Raw genomic sequence first — 20,203 nt, 5'->3', positions numbered from 1 at the left:
ACAAACGCCCAATGATACATGTCATAGGGAAACATATTTTTTCCTTTTTAATCTTTGGGGCTTTGTTTTAATAATTCATAAAGACATTAACCTTTCCGGTAGGCTTAAGAATCCTTTTTATTTAATACAATTTTGTTTGTGTTCTGAAAACCAAGGACATTGAAGTATTTATTCCCTGCTGAATAGGGCATTGTGTACATGTAGCTTTGTTTTCCCTGAAAATACCTCTTAGCCTTCATTTGCCTTCTCAGGGCTCTGGAATGTGGGCTTGCTCTATATTGCTTCCTCTGTAAGAGAACATGTATTATGCTCCCAACATGTGTGCTGTTGGAACATCTCAGTTTTCTTAACTCCCCGTTTCCACTCACACCACCATTTCCATGATTCTCTTTTGGCTGAGTCTATGCAGAAAACAAGAAGTATTAATTATTGTACTATAGGAAACAGGACCTGAAAAGGCAAAGTTTTCACCTGAGAAATTATAAAGTAAATTCATGGCAGGCCTGGAGCTCTAGCCCATATCTACAGGTTATGGTAGAAAGTTAAAGCAGTGGCTCTCAACTGGGAAGATTTTGTCTTCTCTCTCCAGGGGACATTTGAAAATATATGGAGACATTTTTTGTTGTCACAAATGGTAGGGGACAGGGTTGGCTACTGGTTTCTAGCTGCTAGGAGCCAGAGATGCTACTAAACTTCCTACAATGCACAGGACAGCTGCTGAAACAAAGAATTAATCAGCCCAAAATGTGTATGGTGCAAGTGTTGAGAAACCTTGCTGTCAGTTAATGGAAATTAGACTTGAGCCCTGCTCTGCATCTTACTTTGTGACCTTGAGAAAGTGTCTTCATTTCTGAGTCTGCCTTTTCATTTGCAAGAATAAAACCACCACCATCATAAGGCAAACAAAGACAAAACAAAAACAAAAACAAAAACCACCTTTCAGAGTGGTTTTGAGAGATCAACTCAAAAGCACAGAACAGAGTTCTGAGCATATCATGGACCCAACAAACAATGAATCAGGCCCATCCCACGAAGTTCAATGATAAGATGGAAGCAGTCAGTGCCAGAAAGAAAATGTCACCGAAATGAAAAAGAAGGCTCTTCAGATTCTTATTAGCTTTTATTGAGAAAAGAGCAAGAGATGCGAAGAAGTTTAAGAGAATTAAATAGCATCGTGGATGTACTAGAAGGGGAGGGAAGGAGATAATGAGACTGGAAATAGAACCTAATGAGAGTTGTAGGAGTGACAGAGATTTCAGCAGTGACCTGGAGATGGATTTGAGATGCATTTAGGAGGAATCTGAAGAACTTTGTGGGCAATTAAAAAGGTCATGAGAGAGGAGTCTAGGATGAATATGAGATTTCTGACAGGCGCTTGGGTGTTGGTGATGCCATTCAATAAGAATGAAGTTGAAGGGCAAGGAAAAGAATAAATTCAGTTGTAGATGTATCAAGTTCAGAATTCTTGTGGGACATTTAGATGATCATCATGAGGCAGGGAGCTGTGTAGGTTTAGGGAGAGTCAGGAAGGTGAAAGCAGAAGTCGAATCCATGGGGATGAGTGAGATTTTCTAGGGAGAGCATAAAGAGTAAGAAAAGAGCAAAGGACAGAATTCTTAAGAGGTGGACAACAAAAACGAAGATGAAAGAATCAGGAGGCGTGAAACAAGAAGAGAGGGTAGAGTGGTATAGAACTCAAGTCTGAAGAAGTTTCAGGAATGCAAGCACAGGCAACAGTGTCAAATGTCACAGGAAAATTACATAAAATCCAAGTGTCCAGAAGATTTGGCAGTTGCATGACAGTGCTAACTTTAGCATAAACGTTAAGTACAATGATGAGCAGAAAAACTAGACTCAATGAGTTGAGGAGTAAATAACAGTTGAGGAAGTAGAAATGAGGAATAAAGGAAGAAAGACTGTCAACAAGATAAGCTATGAAGATTCTCCCTCTCCCCCACTAAAAATGGACAACACTTAAGCATATTTGTATACTGAGAGAAAGGAGACGGGAGATTGAAGACCACAGAATACAAAACACAGAAAACTGATAGATCAAGAATGGGATATAGAGCGTGAATGATTATTTTGGGGTAAGAAGAGGGAGACTCTCTTTCCAAACTGGGTAAAGAAGGTAAATTTGGTATGAATATGTCAGTCTGGAGGGTGAAGGAGCAGAGTTTAAGGAAATTTGTATTGGGGAGCTTCACTTTTCATTATCAAATTGGTGGCAAGCTGAGCTGCTGATATGGGATATGGGAACCAAGAAGAAGCAGGGGCAGGTAATAAACCTTAAGGACTGGGAAGGGCATTAACGAATTAGAGAAAGTGAGTAGAGACTATAGCGTCAACAATCTGGTATGTGAAGGACATCTCAAGATACCAGGATCACCTTGATATTCATGTCTAATTCTCTTCATATCAGTAACATGACCCATCCATCTTTAGAGGGAAGCAATAAACTAGAAAGATTTTGCCAACCACAGAATTGTTTGAAAATGGGGTAGTGGGCGGTGGGGTAGATGACCAACCAAATCTCAAATTAAAGTGGACATGGGATTAATTATGTCCATGGGCCAGTTGTATCATCTCCTTGTATGTAAGACAGCATATCCTTCGGGATTCTTAGAGAGCCCTAAACCACCAGAGTTGTTATAATGCAGAAATTGTAATTTATCTTACATAATCCCTCAAATAGTAGAAACGATCTGTAGAATAGAAATAAATGGATCCTGATGAAATTGTCTTATTTTGCAGAGTCTTGCCTTCTTTTGAGCCTAAGTCATGAGTTGGATGTTCCTCAGAGATCTCCTGAGTGGAGTAAATAAATACTCCACTGGGACTGGATGGATTTGGCTGGCTGTCGTGTTTGTCTTCCGTTTGCTGGTCTACATGGTGGCAGCAGAGCACGTGTGGAAAGATGAGCAGAAAGAGTTTGAGTGCAACAGTAGACAGCCCGGTTGCAAAAATGTGTGTTTTGATGACTTCTTCCCCATTTCCCAAGTCAGACTTTGGGCCTTACAACTGATAATGGTCTCCACACCTTCACTTCTGGTGGTTTTACATGTAGCCTATCATGAGGGTAGAGAGAAAAGGCACAGAAAGAAACTCTATGTCAGCCCAGGTACAATGGATGGGGGCCTATGGTACGCTTATCTTATCAGCCTCATTGTTAAAACTGGTTTTGAAATTGGCTTCCTTGTTTTATTTTATAAGCTATATGATGGCTTTAGTGTTCCCTACCTTATAAAGTGTGATTTGAAGCCTTGTCCCAACACTGTGGACTGCTTCATCTCCAAACCCACTGAGAAGACGATCTTCATCCTCTTCTTGGTCATCACCTCATGCTTGTGTATTGTGTTGAATTTCATTGAACTGAGTTTTTTGGTTCTCAAGTGCTTTATTAAGTGCTGTCTCCAAAAATATTTAAAAAAACCTCAAGTCCTCAGTGTGTGAGTGCCACAGCCTCAGATATGTTGAATGTGGTAGGAGAGGGACCCCTCCCCTACTCCAGAATCTTCACACTTGGCCATAAACACACTCCCTCTACCTGAAGCAAAGCTACTCTGTGACACACAAGAGGGTTAAACAAAGAAAACCTGCATCCCTCCTCAGCAAGGCCTAAGCTGAGTTGGAAGACAAAGCACATCAGCCTTAGTATCATTTGGGAGGAATTTTTTTACATTGTCAATATGCTTTCAGTTATGAGCTCTAGACAGAGGTCTCATTGTTTTGTTGTAGGGTTCTCCAGTATGTGGATAACATTAGTTGTTTTAGAATAGGTAATTGCAAATTAGTCTGAAGAAATCTAACAGGATTCTTTTAAGAGCTTAGATTTTTCAGGGAAAAAAAAAAAAAAAGAAACCCTGTGTCAGTTTTCTGTTTTTTCTAACTATCTCATTACAATTGGTGCACAATGAACTGGAAAATATAAAAAGTGACACTTTAGGCAAATGTGATGGCCTCCGAGCTGAAATGAAGGAACTGGCAATCTTTCCAAAGTGGCAGCCAAGGCCCCACTCCCTGTCCTACTCAATCTCTGCAGGGAAAAACTGTGGGATAGGATAGCAGCCAGCTGGGGACACACAGAGGAACATTCAACAGGAAGGTCCCGCCTAGGGAAAAGGCCACAGAGCCCAGGCCTCTTGCCGATTCAGGGATCCTTGGATATAAGTGGATTAGAGGAGAGGGAGGAAAGCTATCATTTCAGTGGTCTCCAAATCAAGTAGAAATATTACTGGGAGGTATCCCACTTAAGCCTGAACCAGCAGACATCCGAAAGGGTCACTCTAGAGTCAGAAAGGAAAGCAGGTCCCCCAGAAGGCAACACATTGATAGGAAGTGGAGGCCACAGAAAAAGAATGTGCCCACTTGATAATTACTTAAGACTTCTATTTAACCAAAAGAACATTGAAATACTTTGTAAATATTCATATTGTTGAACCTTTCATAATCAGGAATTCACTATGTACTATACTGTAAGTCATAGTTCGCCTATAATTTACTAGTATATCTCCCTCTAGGACAGATAGTAAAATGTGTACTATGTTGTTACAGTGGTGCAAAAATGTTTTAAAAGTTTATCACTTGTTTTGAAGACTAGAACTTTCTTTACTTTTCTATATTTTCTTAGCAATTCACAGATATGTTCTCTTTGGATTTAGTACTTTAACATATGTACATTTCTTCAGAATAAAAATAAGGGTATTTCACAATGCTCTTTGGCTGTCATTGGTATCTTTGCTAGACTGCAGTAGGTATGATTACTATGTGAAATAAAACATGTTCTGACAACTTTAGAACAGGATTTGCAACACTGCTTGGCTAAGAAATTATTCTTCTCCCTCAAGAATTTAACAGAAAATCAGGGCATAAAAATGTAATTTTAACAAAAACCAATTATGTCTTCCATACCTTGCCCTCTTTAGAATATAATCTCATTACAAGTCATGCGCAATGAAGGTTATTTGGGTCATTACGTGGTCTACAGACCATGTCAGCAGCAGCGGTCATTATTTCTATCTTAAAGACTGTGTTCTAGACAACAGAGAGAGAGGTGAAATTTGTGGTTTACCCCTTTCTTCAATTTATACCACAGATCACTGCTGGACTTGAGCTTACAAACATGTACTTTATCATTGAATATGAAAACATCTAGCCTGCATGAATGCAGGTAATCATGAATTTTGTGTGTGTATGTGTGACAATAATAGATGGTTAAAAAAAATTTAAGGTTTTTGAGACCCTGATCACAGCACAGAATCTAGAAAACAGGGTTTCAGAATGCAGAACTGGAATGGAAATAAGGGGCTTTGTCAGTCTGAGGAAGAGTTTGATGCCAAAAATGTTTTGGGGGAGCTCATCCTCTTCATATCAGTTATGGCAAGTTCTGCCTAAGCAAAAAAGTCCAACTGCTTGGCCATATATTCTTTGCATTTCCACTTTGTATAGAAGAAACTGAAAGGTAATGTGAGCAAGGGCAATGGCATTGAAGATGTTTAAATAGGAAGGTGAGTGATTTTCGTTCCTTGAGTCTTGCTGGTAGTGCCTTAATTTACAAAGTGAGTTTCCTATGAGAACATTCTGATGGCTTTCTTGGGGTCAGTGAGGACCCAAAGTATTTGATTGAGAGAAATTGGCAGTTAATTTGTACCATATTGTTTCTCTTATTGGTAAATTAATATTGATTGAGCACCTGGGAGCAAGACACTGTGCTATGTACATCCCAAGATTTAATGCATAATTCCTGCTCAAGAAAATGTCCACTTCTGTTAAGGCTCATGGAGGGTGAAGTATCTTAAACCTGTGTCCTGGTCTCACTGGCCCACCTCAACTGTTCTACTCCGAAACCTTCTGGTGTCCACAGAGCAGACAGTAACCTTGGAGATGGGGAAAAAGCAGTCACTTTTCTTCAGGGACATGCAACTAGTACAGGCAGACTGAACAATCAACCATAGGTCTTCCCAGATCACTAAACAGAGGTCTCCCTAATTTCATTTAAGCCACTCCCAGCTTGCAGTGATTATTCCGACTGCTCTGCACTTGTCCCATACTCTTTCTAGTTACAGACCTTGTTCCTGGCCACAGGAGTTCTCATTAGAGCTGGCAGGAAATGTTTTCAAGCACTTGTACAAAAGAATGCCCAGAGCTCTAAGTGGCTGTGGTTCCAGTCTTCCCAGTGGAATGAAGCCAATCTAGAAAAAAGACTGTGAAGATGAGAGAGGAGAGGGAAAAAGGCAAAGACTTGAGGATGTTTGAACTCCTCAATCCCATTGTCCCTGAGTCTGGCTCTACCCCTAATCTTTCGGTGGTTAGTTACATGAAAGATAAATTCCTTTTTGCTTAAGCTGGTTCAAGTTGGATTTCTGTGTCTTGTAACTGAGAGTCCCAATAAAGCCACCTTCTTCATAACTTTCTTTCCTGTATAATACAAAATTTTAATAATTTAAAAGCCTATAGTGCCCTGCCTCTCCTTATTCTAGCTCATATCCCATCACATACATGTAACACTTTTCTTAAACACTGATGTCGATTTATTCCTAGTTTATTTTGTTTGTATATTTAACACTGCACAGAGCACAAAAGTGAGGAGCACTTCATAGCTCTTTAAAAGACTGATTAGAGGGCAAGTGCAGTGGCTCATGCCTGTATTTCCAGAACTTTGGGAGGCCAAGGCAGGAGGATCCCTTGAGTTTAGGAATTCAAACTTGAGGTGGGCTATGATCGCGCCACTGCATCCAGCCTGGGTGACAGAGCAAGACCCCGTCTTTTTTTTTTTTTTTTTTTTTTCGAAATGTAGTCTTGCTCTGTCCCCCAGAGTGAAGTGCAGTGGCATGATCTCAGCTCACTGCAACCTCCGTCTCCCAGGTTCAAGCAATTCTCCTGCCTCAGCCTCTCGAGTAGCCAGGATTATAGATGCCCACCAACATACCCGGCTAACTTTTGTATTTTTAGTAGAGACGGGGTTTGCCATGTTGGCCAGGCTGGTCTCGAACTCCTGACCTCAGGTGATCCACCCGCCTCAGCCTCCCAAAGTGCTGGCATTACAGGCCTGAGCCACCACGCCTGGACAAGACCCTGTATTAAACAAAACAAAAAAACTAATGAGGAAAGAAAGAAGCAGTGGTGGAGCACGTAGAGGCAAAACATGTCAGAATTCAATTGAATTTTTATGACAAAAGCCCAAGGAAGGTGTTCTAGGAAAGACCTGCCAGAAGTGCTTTCTCTAATATAAATTGGGCCTTTTTTCACAAAGCAAATCTTCCTTTGGCTGTAAAAGATATTGGTGACCGTGAGGAGCTCTGAGAATTTTCTGCAGACCCATCTTGTTTCCACAGTGTTAGACAGTCTAATAAACAACTGAGATACTTATCTTTTAAAAATACTACAATCTTCCCAAATATTGTTTGAAAGCAAAGTAAAATGAGTTCTGGATGTTACTGACATAGGTCTATATTCCCATCTATTTAAAGGTGAAGTATCAAATCCTGCTCCAGCTACAAATAATTTTTATTTTTTTTCTATTAAAAAGGAAAAATGTTCAGAGGAAATATGTAATTTGTTAATACTTTATCTTAAAAAACCTTCAGATATTAATGCCTCCTATCAGAGTAAAGAGAGAGAATGGCTGTTGTGTAGAATTGGGGATGAATCAAAAACAGGACATTGAAAAAGTGGACTTGATTCCTCTTCTTTTGTAAAAGGTCACTATTAAACTCTGTGCTGTGGATTGGGGCCAGAGCAGACAAATATTAAGCAGTACAACTACCACATTCTTGGTATAAAAATGTTAACTAAATAGATGATCAGTAATCCCGTGATTAAAAGAGGTATTAATCACTAGGTTAGCCAAGAGTTTTCATTCATATTTATCTCAAAGAAAAGTGCAGTAACTTGAGATTTGACTTTCTGTGGAAGATAAGCAAACCCGATAAGCTAATTCTCTTAGAGAAGATTGTTCCTAATTACATTAATTTGATATTAAAAATTAATCACTGTGATTATGGTCAAGGACTTTGTCTTATTCATCTCTTTATATCCCTATATCCCCACAGGTTAGGTCCCTGCACTTAGCAGCTCAACGTTTCTTGGAAAAAAACGTTGTGTTCCTCTTCCCTCTCCACTTAACCCAGATTTTGTTGGGGATGTCAATGTGCCCAGCTAAAAAGGTATATTTTAAAGTCTCCTCTGCATGTAGAGGTAGCTGTGTGACTATCTTCTTGTCAAAGCAACAAGGTGCTTTGGGGAAAGTTGCTTAAAAAGTGTGCTGACCTAGTTTGCATGCATCTTTTTCCTGCCCCCACCCCTTCCTGCCTGAAACATCATAGCTTAATGTTGCCGGCAACATCTTTCTGCCATGAGGTGACTCTGAAGATGGATGTGAGACCTTCTGAAGATAGGCAGGCTTCTGGGACACTGATGCCACTATGAAATTGCCTTATCAGCCTCGAACTGCCTATTTTCCTACTGTCTGCTTGTTGTTATGTGAGAGGCAACTTAACTCCTACCTGATATAAATCACTGACTCGTTAATTTCTTTTACTTACTGCTCCAAACAGTTCCAGAGTACATTCACATTAGTGACTAGGATGAAGACACAGAAGGCATGCCTATATCAACTGAAGACAAAAGAAATGCCTAGTATTTGAAACATTTAAAAATTGAAACATTTAAAAAATTGAATTGAAACATTTAAAATTGAAACATAAAAAATCTCAGCAGGGTTAATTTTGTTCAGAATTTAAGTCAGGTGAAATGGAACAAGCAATCATTCTGCAGATTTAAGATTTTAGTATGAGACCAAGATGATATTAGTTCACGATATGAATTTCTTGGAATTTTAGCTGTCCACCACCTTAACATGAGCAAAGTGTAGTATGAGACTTTTTTGAGCTCATTTATACCTGTATTAACAAAGGTGTGTGTCCAGACTGTAGTGAATTGTTTTCCCAATGCTTCAAAGACAACTTATTTTGTGTTTCAAAGTTGCAGAACCAGGACCAATGGTTGAAAATAAGAGAAAAAGATTTTTCTTTTTTACCTAATAATTGGAAAGTTTTATTAATTTGAACTGCCTCAATGAAATGGTTGCCCAATAAAGTGGTGAGATTCCCTAACATTGAATAAGATGTTCAATAATATTTCCGGATTATATAGAAGGTACAGCTAGATGACCTCCAAATTTCTTTTAAACTCTTCAAGATCCCATGTTTCTAGTAACTAAATATTGGACAATGGCAAAATAAGACTTTGTATTGGCTGTATCTAAACCTGAGTCCACAGAAAGATCTCTGATGAACAGAATCATCTTTAAGAAACAAATTTCACGTATGACAGGGCAGCTCATTACAACAGACAATTTAGGTAGTCCCAAAGAACTGGTTATAATATGATTTATGTTCTTTAAAATCATGGCATTATAGTTAGTACCTGTGAGGTACTTAATATTTTGTGTGATTTAATTCTTTTCTCCACCTTGAGAAATTGTAAGGCTTCGATCAAATATTTCTGTCAGAGAGCAAAATGTGATATAAAATGGGGATAAGTGATAATACATATCTCACAGGGCCACTGTACAGATTATATGACTCATGCAAAGCACGGCATGTAGAGATTATTTTAAAATGTTAGGTGTTGTAATTAACAATACATGGCTTTATCATATCACTTATCTCTATGTTATTTGCTTACACATTTGTATCCCCCCCTCTAAATAGTGAGCATTTTGAATGCAGGCAAGAACTATGTCCTCCATCATTTTACCTTCAGGGGTTAACCCACAGTAATTGCTCAAAAACAATGAACATATTTCTGAATTTTTCAGCATAACTGTGTTGTATGAAGTAACAAAAATCACAATATTCTGGAACTGGAAAAAATCTTCAAAATACTTACGAATCAGACTACAACCTAGAATGATACAGTGACTTGCCCAGTTACCTGAAGTGACTGAGCAAGAATTCAGTTTTTTTAAAACTCCAAATTCAGTCTTCCAGAAATTTCCTGTAAAACATTTTTTCAAAGATCTTTGGAATACTGGCATATCCACATAATGACCGTTACTTTTCTTTAAAGCTTATTAGATAACTAAATATGTATAATCAAAACATGATGGCTTTAGCCTTTTTCCATTATGAAGGCTGGTCTATTAATCCTAAAATGGACCAATAGCTAAAGTGTCATAGTCATCTCCCAATAAAAAAAACCTGTACTTTAATAACTGTTTAAGTACCCCAAAATATAAATGACTACCACATATTAGCCCATGTCCCCTTTAAAATATAAATAAAAAATGGGAAGGTAATTTCTGGTTCAATTTTCAGACCTTAACTGTACATACTCCTTTCCAGTGTTAGTTTGCCATCTTGTGGCCTCTTAATCCTGTGCAATTCAGTAACTGAGCAACATGTATGTTAAGTTAGCCTATGAAACTGACAAGCTTTATACACTCATCACACACCTCCACTTTTAAACTTACTTCATATGGAGCCATGTAAGTTACTGTACTTCCAATTTCACTCCAGACCCAACTCCAGCTACAAGTGAAGCAAATCACCTAAAAAAAATATTCTGAGAAAAGTGCTCAAAGAACATCTGAATATTTATTGATTATGCATACACGTTTGCTGAAAAGGAGTGTATGTAACTTTGATGAAGCCAATATGAATATGGCCTCTGATAAAGAAGAGAAAGCAAGGTAGTAACAGGATTTGAATGTAAATTTTGCCAAATGGTGACATGGTCTTTCTCACTACCCTGACAGGATTATAAAATCTACCACAATGTTTGCTTTGTTGAAGGTGTGTGTATATAGTGTGTACATACACACACACACACACACACACGCTATTGACTACTATATAAATTTTCCTTCAAGCAGTATCTAGGATTGTTAACCTGACTCAGCAAGAACACACTGGTCCCTTGGAATAGTCAGATGGTGATAACACAAATAAGACTGAGTTACCTCCAGTGGTAGCTAATTCCTTTCTTAGTTATGAGAAATGAATTGCCATACAAAGAGCTCAGAACAGTTGCTGACACATGATTGTTTATTAAATATTACCTATTGTTCTATCTAGAGCCAGTCCTCAGCCTTGGGCTTCCCAAGCTTCTCTTCCAGGATCTTTGAGCTCGGCACTTTGTAACTGAGGGCCCAATTCTGTGTATGAGACTTGAAAACTCTAAGAGAGCGTGTCTGCCCTTTGCTTCAATGTTGTATTTCCAAGGAAAGCTGCCTAGAGGTTATAGCTTGGTCAGTAAAAAGAAAAAGAAAAAAAAATGTAGCTAGGCCACAGGAATGCTGGGTTCCAGATTATAGTTTTAAAATCAAAATTCAGTTTTTCTCTCATTGTCAGGGATATCAGCTTAGAGAAAGGCAGTCCGAACAACACATACCTAAAGCTCAAGGATTACACAGAGCCAACCAGCCTCTATTTTGTGCTGCTAAGAGCACATCATGATCAGAGCATTCTAGGTTTCTGGTCTTTTCACTTCTGGCAGAGCAGATGTTCTCTTTCATACGGTCCTCAAGATTTTGTTGAAATAAACTAGAATTACTTGTTTCTCATTTTATAGTGATAAGACTTTTTAAACTGAAGACATTAATGTATGACATAACTTCTAATTTTGCCTTATTTACTGAAATGAGAAGTGTATTGCACTACTTCCTGTATTTACAATGAAAACCTAAAAACTTTCCCTATATATTTCTGACAATCTCAAGCTTCATTCTTCTGCCTTGAAATAAATGGCAATACACTCATCAGCCAGGACAATGGAGAACATTCTGAACTAGGGGCCAGAGACCTATTTCATAGGTTTGCTGTTAAAAGTCTTTAAATTTTCCCATGTGACTGTCTTTATAAAATGGGGTTGCTAATTTTCCTCTTCTTATGGGGCAGGGGTGGTTGTGAGGATCAAATTTTAAACTGCATAAATGAACACCCAACTGCCATACTTGATTAGAAATTCTCCTTTAAGAGTACACATGCTTGAGAGAAAATTTTGTACTGCTGCAGCTGAGGTTTTAAAATCTTCAAATAAGTAAATCTAATGAGCCGATCAGTTTTAATAGGGTTGGAAGTAGCAAACAAGGATTGCCAAGAATGACTTAAGTATTTGGATAATGTAAAAGTGTACTGAAAAAACATAAACAAGACTGATTCTCTGTATATCCTTCTCCCATCCAAATCTTAAGTGTCAAGGAGTTGGTTAACATCTTAAAGGCGGCCGGGTGCGGTGGCTCAGGCCTGTAATCCCAACACTTTGGGAGGCCGAGGTGGGCGGATCACGAGGTCAGATTGAGACCATCCTGGCTAACATGGTGAAACCACGTCTCTACTAAAAATACAAGAAATTAGCCAGGTGTGGTGGCAGGCACCTGTAGTCCCAGCTACTCGGGAGGCTGAGGCAGGAGAATGGTGTGAACTCGGGAGGTGGAATTTGCAGTGAGCCGAGATAGCGCCACCGCACTCCAGCCTGGGTGACAGAGCAAGACTCCGTCTCAAAACAAGAAACAAAAAAAGAAAACATGTTAAAGCCTCTGTATAAAAGAAGCAAATCTGACTTGGCAAGAAGGGGGCATTCCTCTTGAGAGGATGACTCACAGACATCTCCAGTGAAGAACTGCCTGGTGTGATCTGCTCCTGAATAGTTTGAAACACACTTGTGTCCTCAAAAGCCCAGTGGCTTCTTGAACACCTCACTGCTACAGAGGGACCTAGGGACATGAGGGCCATCATCATCGTGTCCACTTCTTTTCTCCAACTTACGCAGGGGAAGAGGAGGATCCAGGAGACCTATGGGTGGTAGCACTAAAGACAGTGTAAGTGCAGCTTGCACAGTGAACATTCTTTTGCCATGTTCATAGCTATTCTGGGGAACAAAAAGAACCTGGTAGCAAACAAAACCTCTGACTACAAGTTTCTATTATAACCCTCCCAATTCACACTGACTAGAGAATTCTACTCTAGTCAGAGTCCATTAAATTCCTGCACAATTGCTTCTCATTTCCATTTCTCTCTTGGTTTCTCTGGTTTAAGAGTACACACTGCAGTGCAGACCTCTTGTAGACAGCCCCTTTGTTCTGTGCTCCCTACCTTCATCAACACAGCCACCTCCTTCCTGGCTCCAGAAGTTTATTCTTTTCCTTTGGAACCAATGTTAATTAAACCATAAGCAAAGGTGAATAGGTATACATATATATATACATGCACACATATATATATTAGTAAATAAATTACTAAGGATGGTTTTGAAATTTTCAAATAAGTAAATTTCTATTATATATAGAATACATGATATATATATGATATATATGATATATATATATAATATACATGATATATATATAATACATATACTGTGGGTCTTAAAAAACGAAAATCACTTACTAATCAGCTCCTAACACTGCTTCGTAATCACCTAGAGAAAATTCTTTTCTGATACTAGGATAATTTTTATGGAATCTTCCAGCTAAAAATACTAAGCAACCTATTATCTCATTTGGCTAAGCTCTGGACTGTTTGCCTGGTTTCAACTCTCAGCTCTGCCACATACTATCTGTGTGATCCTTAGGTAAGACCTGTAGCCTTTCCTCATATTACTCAATTTCCTCATCTTAAAATAGGGATAACAGCACTTAACTCTTAGAGTTAGTGTAAGAATAAGCAGAAATACAAGAAAAGTTCTTGGTGCAGTGCCTAGCAAATAGTAGCAGTCAATAAATGTTAACTATCACTAGCAGATCCGATGCACAGGGCCTAGGCAAGCCAGACAGACCAGATTCCTTGGACTTGAAGAATTATAAAGTTTATCTTTTCTTTTGGCCACTAAAACCCAAAATCTTCCTATTACCTATCCTCCCATTCCTACTATTCCAATTCTTCTTCTCTGACTTCCTCCAAATATGCCTGCCAATATTGTTAATTATGTTCCCTAGGGTTCCCTCTATTCTCTCTAGAACTCTTGTTCTTTACTGCTGCAGACTTATATACGGCAATTTCATCTTAACTGAACATGGATCTCCCAAGACAATACTCTCAAGAAGCTGCTTTCCCAAACTCCTTACGTGTACCACACAGCCTGTAGGTACACTCCTTATCAATTATTTTTTATTTGAGACAGGGTCTCATTCTGCCACCTACCCTGGGATCATAATCCACTGCAGCCTTGAACCCCTGGGCTCAAGCGATTGTCCCACCTCAGCCTCCCAAGTCACTGGAATTACAGGGATGATCCACCAGGCCTGGCCCTGCTAAAGCAAATTTAGGACTTCAGCATTTCTCACACTGGTTTCTACTAAGGGCATCTTCTGCGTACAGTCCATCCAATAAAATGGACCAAAGTTAATCTACATCGAATTCAGGAATCTAATTGTATGGCCATTTCCAGACACTGTGAACTGTACTACTCCTAAAATCATAAATTTCAATGTCCCAGTCTTCCATACCTCATTTTTAGCCTTATTCCCACTATACCCTCTTTGTCACCATTAAGACCTCCAGTTCCTTGACCACTCCCTTTTCATGTGTCCTCTTGGCTGTTTCCTTCCCTATCCAGACTCAACTCATCAACATATTACTTCTACCAGGACTACACAACCACCTCCTTCTTTCATCCAACTGAGGAACACTATCAGGTATACCATGGAATCATGCAGAGGGTGCTACTAAAATATTATGCTTTCCTAAATCACCTGGGCATTGAATGTGAGAAACAGCATTTATTAGCTGATTGGTAATCCTTTCATATCCCCTACTCAGCTCTTCCTCCTATCTTTTGTTTCAAATTTTCACCATTCAAAACTTCATTTTCTACTTTCCTAAGGCTTGCTGTTGAGTGGTAATGTTGTTTCTTTCCTTCCTGACAAGGAGCTCAACATTTCTACTTAACAGACTTAGTCTAAGAGGTATCCTTCCTACTTTGTAATGTTAATACTCCCAACCTGTGTTCTTGGACCAGGTTCCATCCACGACTTACCTACCTACCTAAGTAACAACTACCTGCTTTCACTTCCTTAGCTCATTCAATTAAACTAGAAAATAAACAGTATTTGGCATTCTTTAAAACTTCTCTAATGATCAATGACCACCAACAGTTAATTCTAGTAGTCTTTATCTTACTCTTAATTATCTCTCAATGGCATTTGGCATGACCATTGACACTTCATCATTCTCCCTCTTCTGGCTTCCATAATGCTCTGTACACTCACTCCCTTTCCTAGTTCTCACCTGACTCTTCCTTCCCAAGTCATCTTTGCTGGTCTCTTCTGCCTACTATATGTTGGTGTTCCTCATGATTTTCGCCTTGGCTATCTTTTTCCGTGGGCTTTCTGGGCATGCTGTCCTTTCTTTCCTCAAACTAAGGTTAAAAATGGCTAACTCTCAGACTTGTATATTAGATCTAAAGACTGATTTTGCTTCTCCCTTCAGTTCCAATAAAATGTAATAAATACTAACTATACCCCAGATCCTGAGCTAAATGCTTTGGAGATAAGACAGACCACTTGCCCTCAAGTAATTTAAAATCCAGAACTGCAGTTTCAGAGTCTCATATAAAGTACTGATCACTAATTAGGTTTAGCCATGGGATGCAAGGTTGGTTCAACATATGAAAACCAAAAATGTGATTGATCACATAAACAGAACTAAAGGCAAAAACCATGATTATCTCAACAGATGCAGAAAACGCTTTTGATAAAATTCAACACCGCTTTCATGTTAAAAACTCTCAATAAACTAGGCACTGGAGGAACATACCTCAAAATAATAAGAACCATTTATGATAAACCCACAGCCAACATCATACTCAATGGTCGAAGGCCGGAAGCATTCCACTTGAAAACTGGCACGAGAGAAGGATCTCCTCTCTCACCACTCCTGTTCAACACAGTATTAGAAGTCCTAGCCAGAGCAATCAGGCAAGAGAAAGAAATAAAGGGCATCCAAACAGGAAGAGAGGAAGTCAAACTATTCCTGTTTGCAGACATGATCCTATATCTAGAAAACTCCATAGTCCAGGCCTAAAAGCTCCTTAAGCTGATAAACAACTTCAGCATACTCTCAGTATATAAAACAATGGAGAAGAGTCACTAGCATTACTATACATCAACAACAGTCAAGCCGAAAGCCAAATCAGGACACAATCCCATTCACAACTGCCACAAAAATAATACAGTACCTATGAATACAGCTAACCAGGGAGGTGAAATATCGCTACAAAGAGAACTACAAAACACTGCCCAAAGAAATGACTACCCAAAGAGATGATTGGGCTGGGCGTGGTGGCTCACACCTGTAATCCCAGCACTTCGGGAGGCCAAGGTCGGCAGATCACCTGAGGTTGGGAGTTCGAGACCAGTCTGACCAACATGGAGAAACCCCGTCTCTACTAAAAACACAAAATTAGCCAGGCTTGGTGGTACATGCCTGTAATCCCAGCTACTCAGGAGGCTGAGGCAGGAGAATCCCTTAAACCCGGGAGGCGGAGGTTGCGGTGAGCCGAGATTGTGCCACTGCACTCCAGCCTGGGCAACAAGAGCGAAACTCCATCTCAAAAAAAAGAAAAAAAAAAGAAAAAAAAGAAAATAAAGAAAGAAATCAGAGATGACACAAATGGAAAAATAGTCCATGCTCATGGATAAGAAGAATCAACATCGTTGAAAGGGCCATATTGCCCAAAGCAATTTATAGATTGAATACGATCCCTATTAAACTACCAATGACTTTCTTCGCAGTACTTGAAAAAACTATTTTAAAATTCATATGGAAACAAAAAAGAGCCCAAATAGCCATGGCAATTCTAAGCAAAAAGAACGAAGTTGGAGGCATCATGCTACCCAACTTCAAACTAGACAAGAGGGATACAGTAACAAAAACAGCATGGCACTGGCACAAAAACAGGCACATAGACCAATGGAATAGAATAGAGAGCCCAGAAATAAGGGCACACACCTAACACTATCTGATCTTTGACAAAGCTGACAAAAACAAGCAATGGGGGAAGGACACCATTCAATAAATGGTGCTGGGATAAGTGGATGGTCACATGCAGAAGATTAAAATGGGACCCCTTCCTTAACTCAAGATGGATTAAAGACTTAAATGTTAAACCCAAAACTATAAAAACTCTGGGAAGGCACCTTAGTATCATTCAGGACATAGGCATGGGCAAAGATTTCATAACAAAGACTCCAAAAGCAATTGCAACAAAAGCAAAAATTGACAAATGAGATCTAATTAAACTAAAGAGCTTCTGCACTGCAAAAGAAACTATCAACAGGGTAAACAGACAACCTACAAAAGGGGAGAAAATTTTTGCAAACTTTGCATCTGACAAAGGTCTAATGTCCAGCATCTATAAGGAACTTAGGCAAATTTACAAGAAAAAAAAAACCCTCAAAAAAGTGGGCAAAGGATACGAACAGACAGTTTTCAAAAGACATACACGCAGCCAACAAACATATGAAAAAAAGTTCAGTATCACTGACCATTAGAGAAATGAAAATCAAAACCACAATGCAGTACCATCTCACACCAGTCAGAATGGCTATAAAAAGTCAAAAAAATATATGTTCACTGCAGCACTATTCACAATAGCGAAGACAAGGAATCAACCTAAATGCCCATCAATAGCAGACTGGATAAAGAATATGTGGTACATATACACCATGGAATATTATGCAGCCATAAAAGAATGAGATCATGTCCTTTGCAGGAACACAGATGGAGCTGGAGGCCATTAGCCTTAGCAAATTAATACAGGAACAGAAAACCAAACACTGCATGTTCTCACTTATAAGCAGGAGCTAAGTTATGAGAACACATGGACACAGAGGGGGAACAACAGACACTGTGGCCTATTGAAGGGGAAGGTAGGAGGAGAGAGGGGATCAGTAATAACTAATGAGTACTAGGTTTAACATTTGGGTGATTATTAAATAATCTGTACAACAAACCCCCATGACACAAGTTTACCTATGTAACAAACCTGCACATGTACCTCTGAACTTAAATTAAAAAAAAAAAAAAAACTGATCACTATACATCTCTGCATGGATGACCTACAGGAATCTCACACTCAACATTATCCTTTCCTCCAATCCAATTCCTTCTATGTTATCTTGGTAAACAGCATCAACATTCACAAATACTAAAGACAGAAACTTATGAATTTTATAAGATATGCTATTCCTCACATCGTAACCTCTACCAAATCCTTTCACTGGCACTTCAATATATTCTATTTTGTCCATCATTTTAAGAACTTTGATGAAATTCCATGACATTTTTCAGCCACCAGTCCATCTTTCCCTCCCCTTCACAAACTTTCAAATATAGGCGTTTAAACTTGCTTTCTATAATCCTCAACCTTCTTCTGGCTTCCACTAAAACTAAGTAATTGCAAAGGTCACTGATTATTTTCTTACCACTAAATCCAAAGGACACTTTAAATTCTTATGTTGGCAGAATGTAACAGAGCTGTACATGCCTCCTTTAAATATGTCCATCCTACTGTTGCCATGATTCTATTTTGCTATTAATCTGCTTCTAAGTACTGAGTTCTTCTGGATTCAGCCCTTTTCTATATTCTCTTTCCCTAAGCAACCATCCATTCATAAAATTGCTCCTCTTCATCTTAGCTTCATGAAGAAATGGTATGTCTTCAACCATTTATTTAAACCAAAAACCTCACATTTCTTTCCCCTCTCTCCTTTCCCATAATCCTTAATGGTCAAGTCCTGTCCAATATTTTAGATCTCTCAAGTCCATCAACTTTTCTCTCTCTCTGCCAGCACCAACCTATTCCAAGCCAGTATCTTCTTTCCTGGATGACTTGGACAGGCTTCCTAACCAGTCTTCTTGAATTCCCCATTGGAATGCTTCCCCTCCAGAGTAAACTTTTAAAACTCCAAGTGTAAGAAATCTCATTCCTCTGCTTAAAAACCAAATGTGAACTCATTACTTAGGATAAAGTCCAATACAAACAATTAGGTCTTCCTAAGACACTTAAGTGATCTGGCTCTTGCTTACCTTTCTTCACTTTAAATTTATCCTTAGCAACTTTCTATCATTTCCTCAAAAGCTATTCTTATCAGAGCTTTTTACACATGCTTTTCCCTTAGCCTGAGTTTTCACTGCCTTCCCTCCCCTAATTTTTACTTTTTTGAGATGAAGTCTCTCTCTTGTCACCCAGGCTGGAGTGCAGTGGTGTGATCTCGGCTCACTGCAACCTCCGTCTCCTGGGTTCAAGCAATTCTCCTACCTCAGCCTCCCAAGTAGCTGGGATTACAAGTGCCTGCCACCACATCCAGCTAATTTTTGCATTTTTAGTAGAGACGGGGTTTCACCACATCAGCCAGACTGGTCTTGAACTCCTGACCTCAGGCGATCTGCCTGCCTTGGCCTCCCAAAGTGCTGAGATTACAGGCATGAGCCACCGTGCCCGGCTAATTTTTACTTTTATAGGTAAGCCTTTTATTGCTTTCCCTTACCAGAGTATATATCATATTCTCACCCTATTATATATCCTGAGAATACCCTGTATTATTCCTTTATTGAACTTACTAAAAAATAAACATATTTTACTCAAAGTGCAGTGGGAAAATCATGAGTTTTCCTCCCTTTGAAATTACTTGAAAAAAAAAAAAAAACCAATCTGTCTGCTTGGTGGGGAATATTCTGGAAGTAAGCCAGTAGGGAGGCTGTTATAATAATTTAGGCAAAATATGATGGTGATTTGGATTAGAGTTATGATGACAAGAAAGGTTCCTTCCTACTTAGAAGGTAGAAATGACGGCTGGGTGTGGTGGCTCATGCCTGTAATCCCAGCATTTTGGGAGGCCAAGGCGGGTGGATCACGAGGTCAGGAGATCAAGACCATTCTGACCAAAATGGTGAAATCCCATCACTACTAAAAAGTACAAAAATTAGCTGGGTGTGGTGGTGTGCGCCTGTAGTCCCAGCTACACAGGAGGCTGAGACGAGGTGGAGGTTGCAGTGAATCAAGATCACACCACTGCACTCCAGCCTGGTGACAGAGCAAGACTCCGTCTCCAAAAAAAAAAAAAAAAAACAAAAAACAGAAGGTAAAAATGACAATTGTGACTAAACAAAGGGAAAAAACATGAATTGGTATGAGGACATCTAAAAGCCTAGCTTCAGAAAACCAGGTAGTGACTTCACTTATCAAGATAAGAGATATC

At 39.2% G+C, this 20,203-nt stretch overlaps 1 protein-coding gene and 1 long non-coding RNA gene across 2 annotated transcripts in view; one reads left to right on the top strand and one right to left on the bottom strand.

Annotated features, from left to right (window-relative positions):
- The window catches only part of GJB7 (gap junction protein beta 7), a 46,299-nt gene extending 41,585 nt beyond the window's left edge, over positions 1-4,714 (top strand). The window contains exon 3 of the mRNA NM_198568.3: positions 2,755-4,714. Coding sequence (NP_940970.1) covers positions 2,782-3,453 — 672 coding nt within the window. The 5' untranslated portion in view covers positions 2,755-2,781 and the 3' untranslated portion in view covers positions 3,454-4,714. The remainder of the gene's footprint in view (positions 1-2,754) is intronic.
- LOC124901356 (uncharacterized) lies at positions 93-6,758 on the bottom strand. The gene is made up of 2 exons (XR_007059667.1): positions 6,068-6,758; positions 93-3,068 (listed from the first exon to the last, which is right to left on the bottom strand). It is a non-coding gene; the product is annotated as an uncharacterized LOC124901356 (long non-coding RNA).
- Between the last annotated feature and the right edge of the window lie 13,445 nt (positions 6,759-20,203).

This window comes from Homo sapiens, chromosome 6 (assembly GCF_000001405.40).
Source record: "Homo sapiens chromosome 6, GRCh38.p14 Primary Assembly".
Classification (NCBI taxonomy): Eukaryota; Metazoa; Chordata; class Mammalia; order Primates; family Hominidae; genus Homo; species Homo sapiens.
This window is presented reverse-complemented; position numbering and strand designations above follow the sequence as displayed.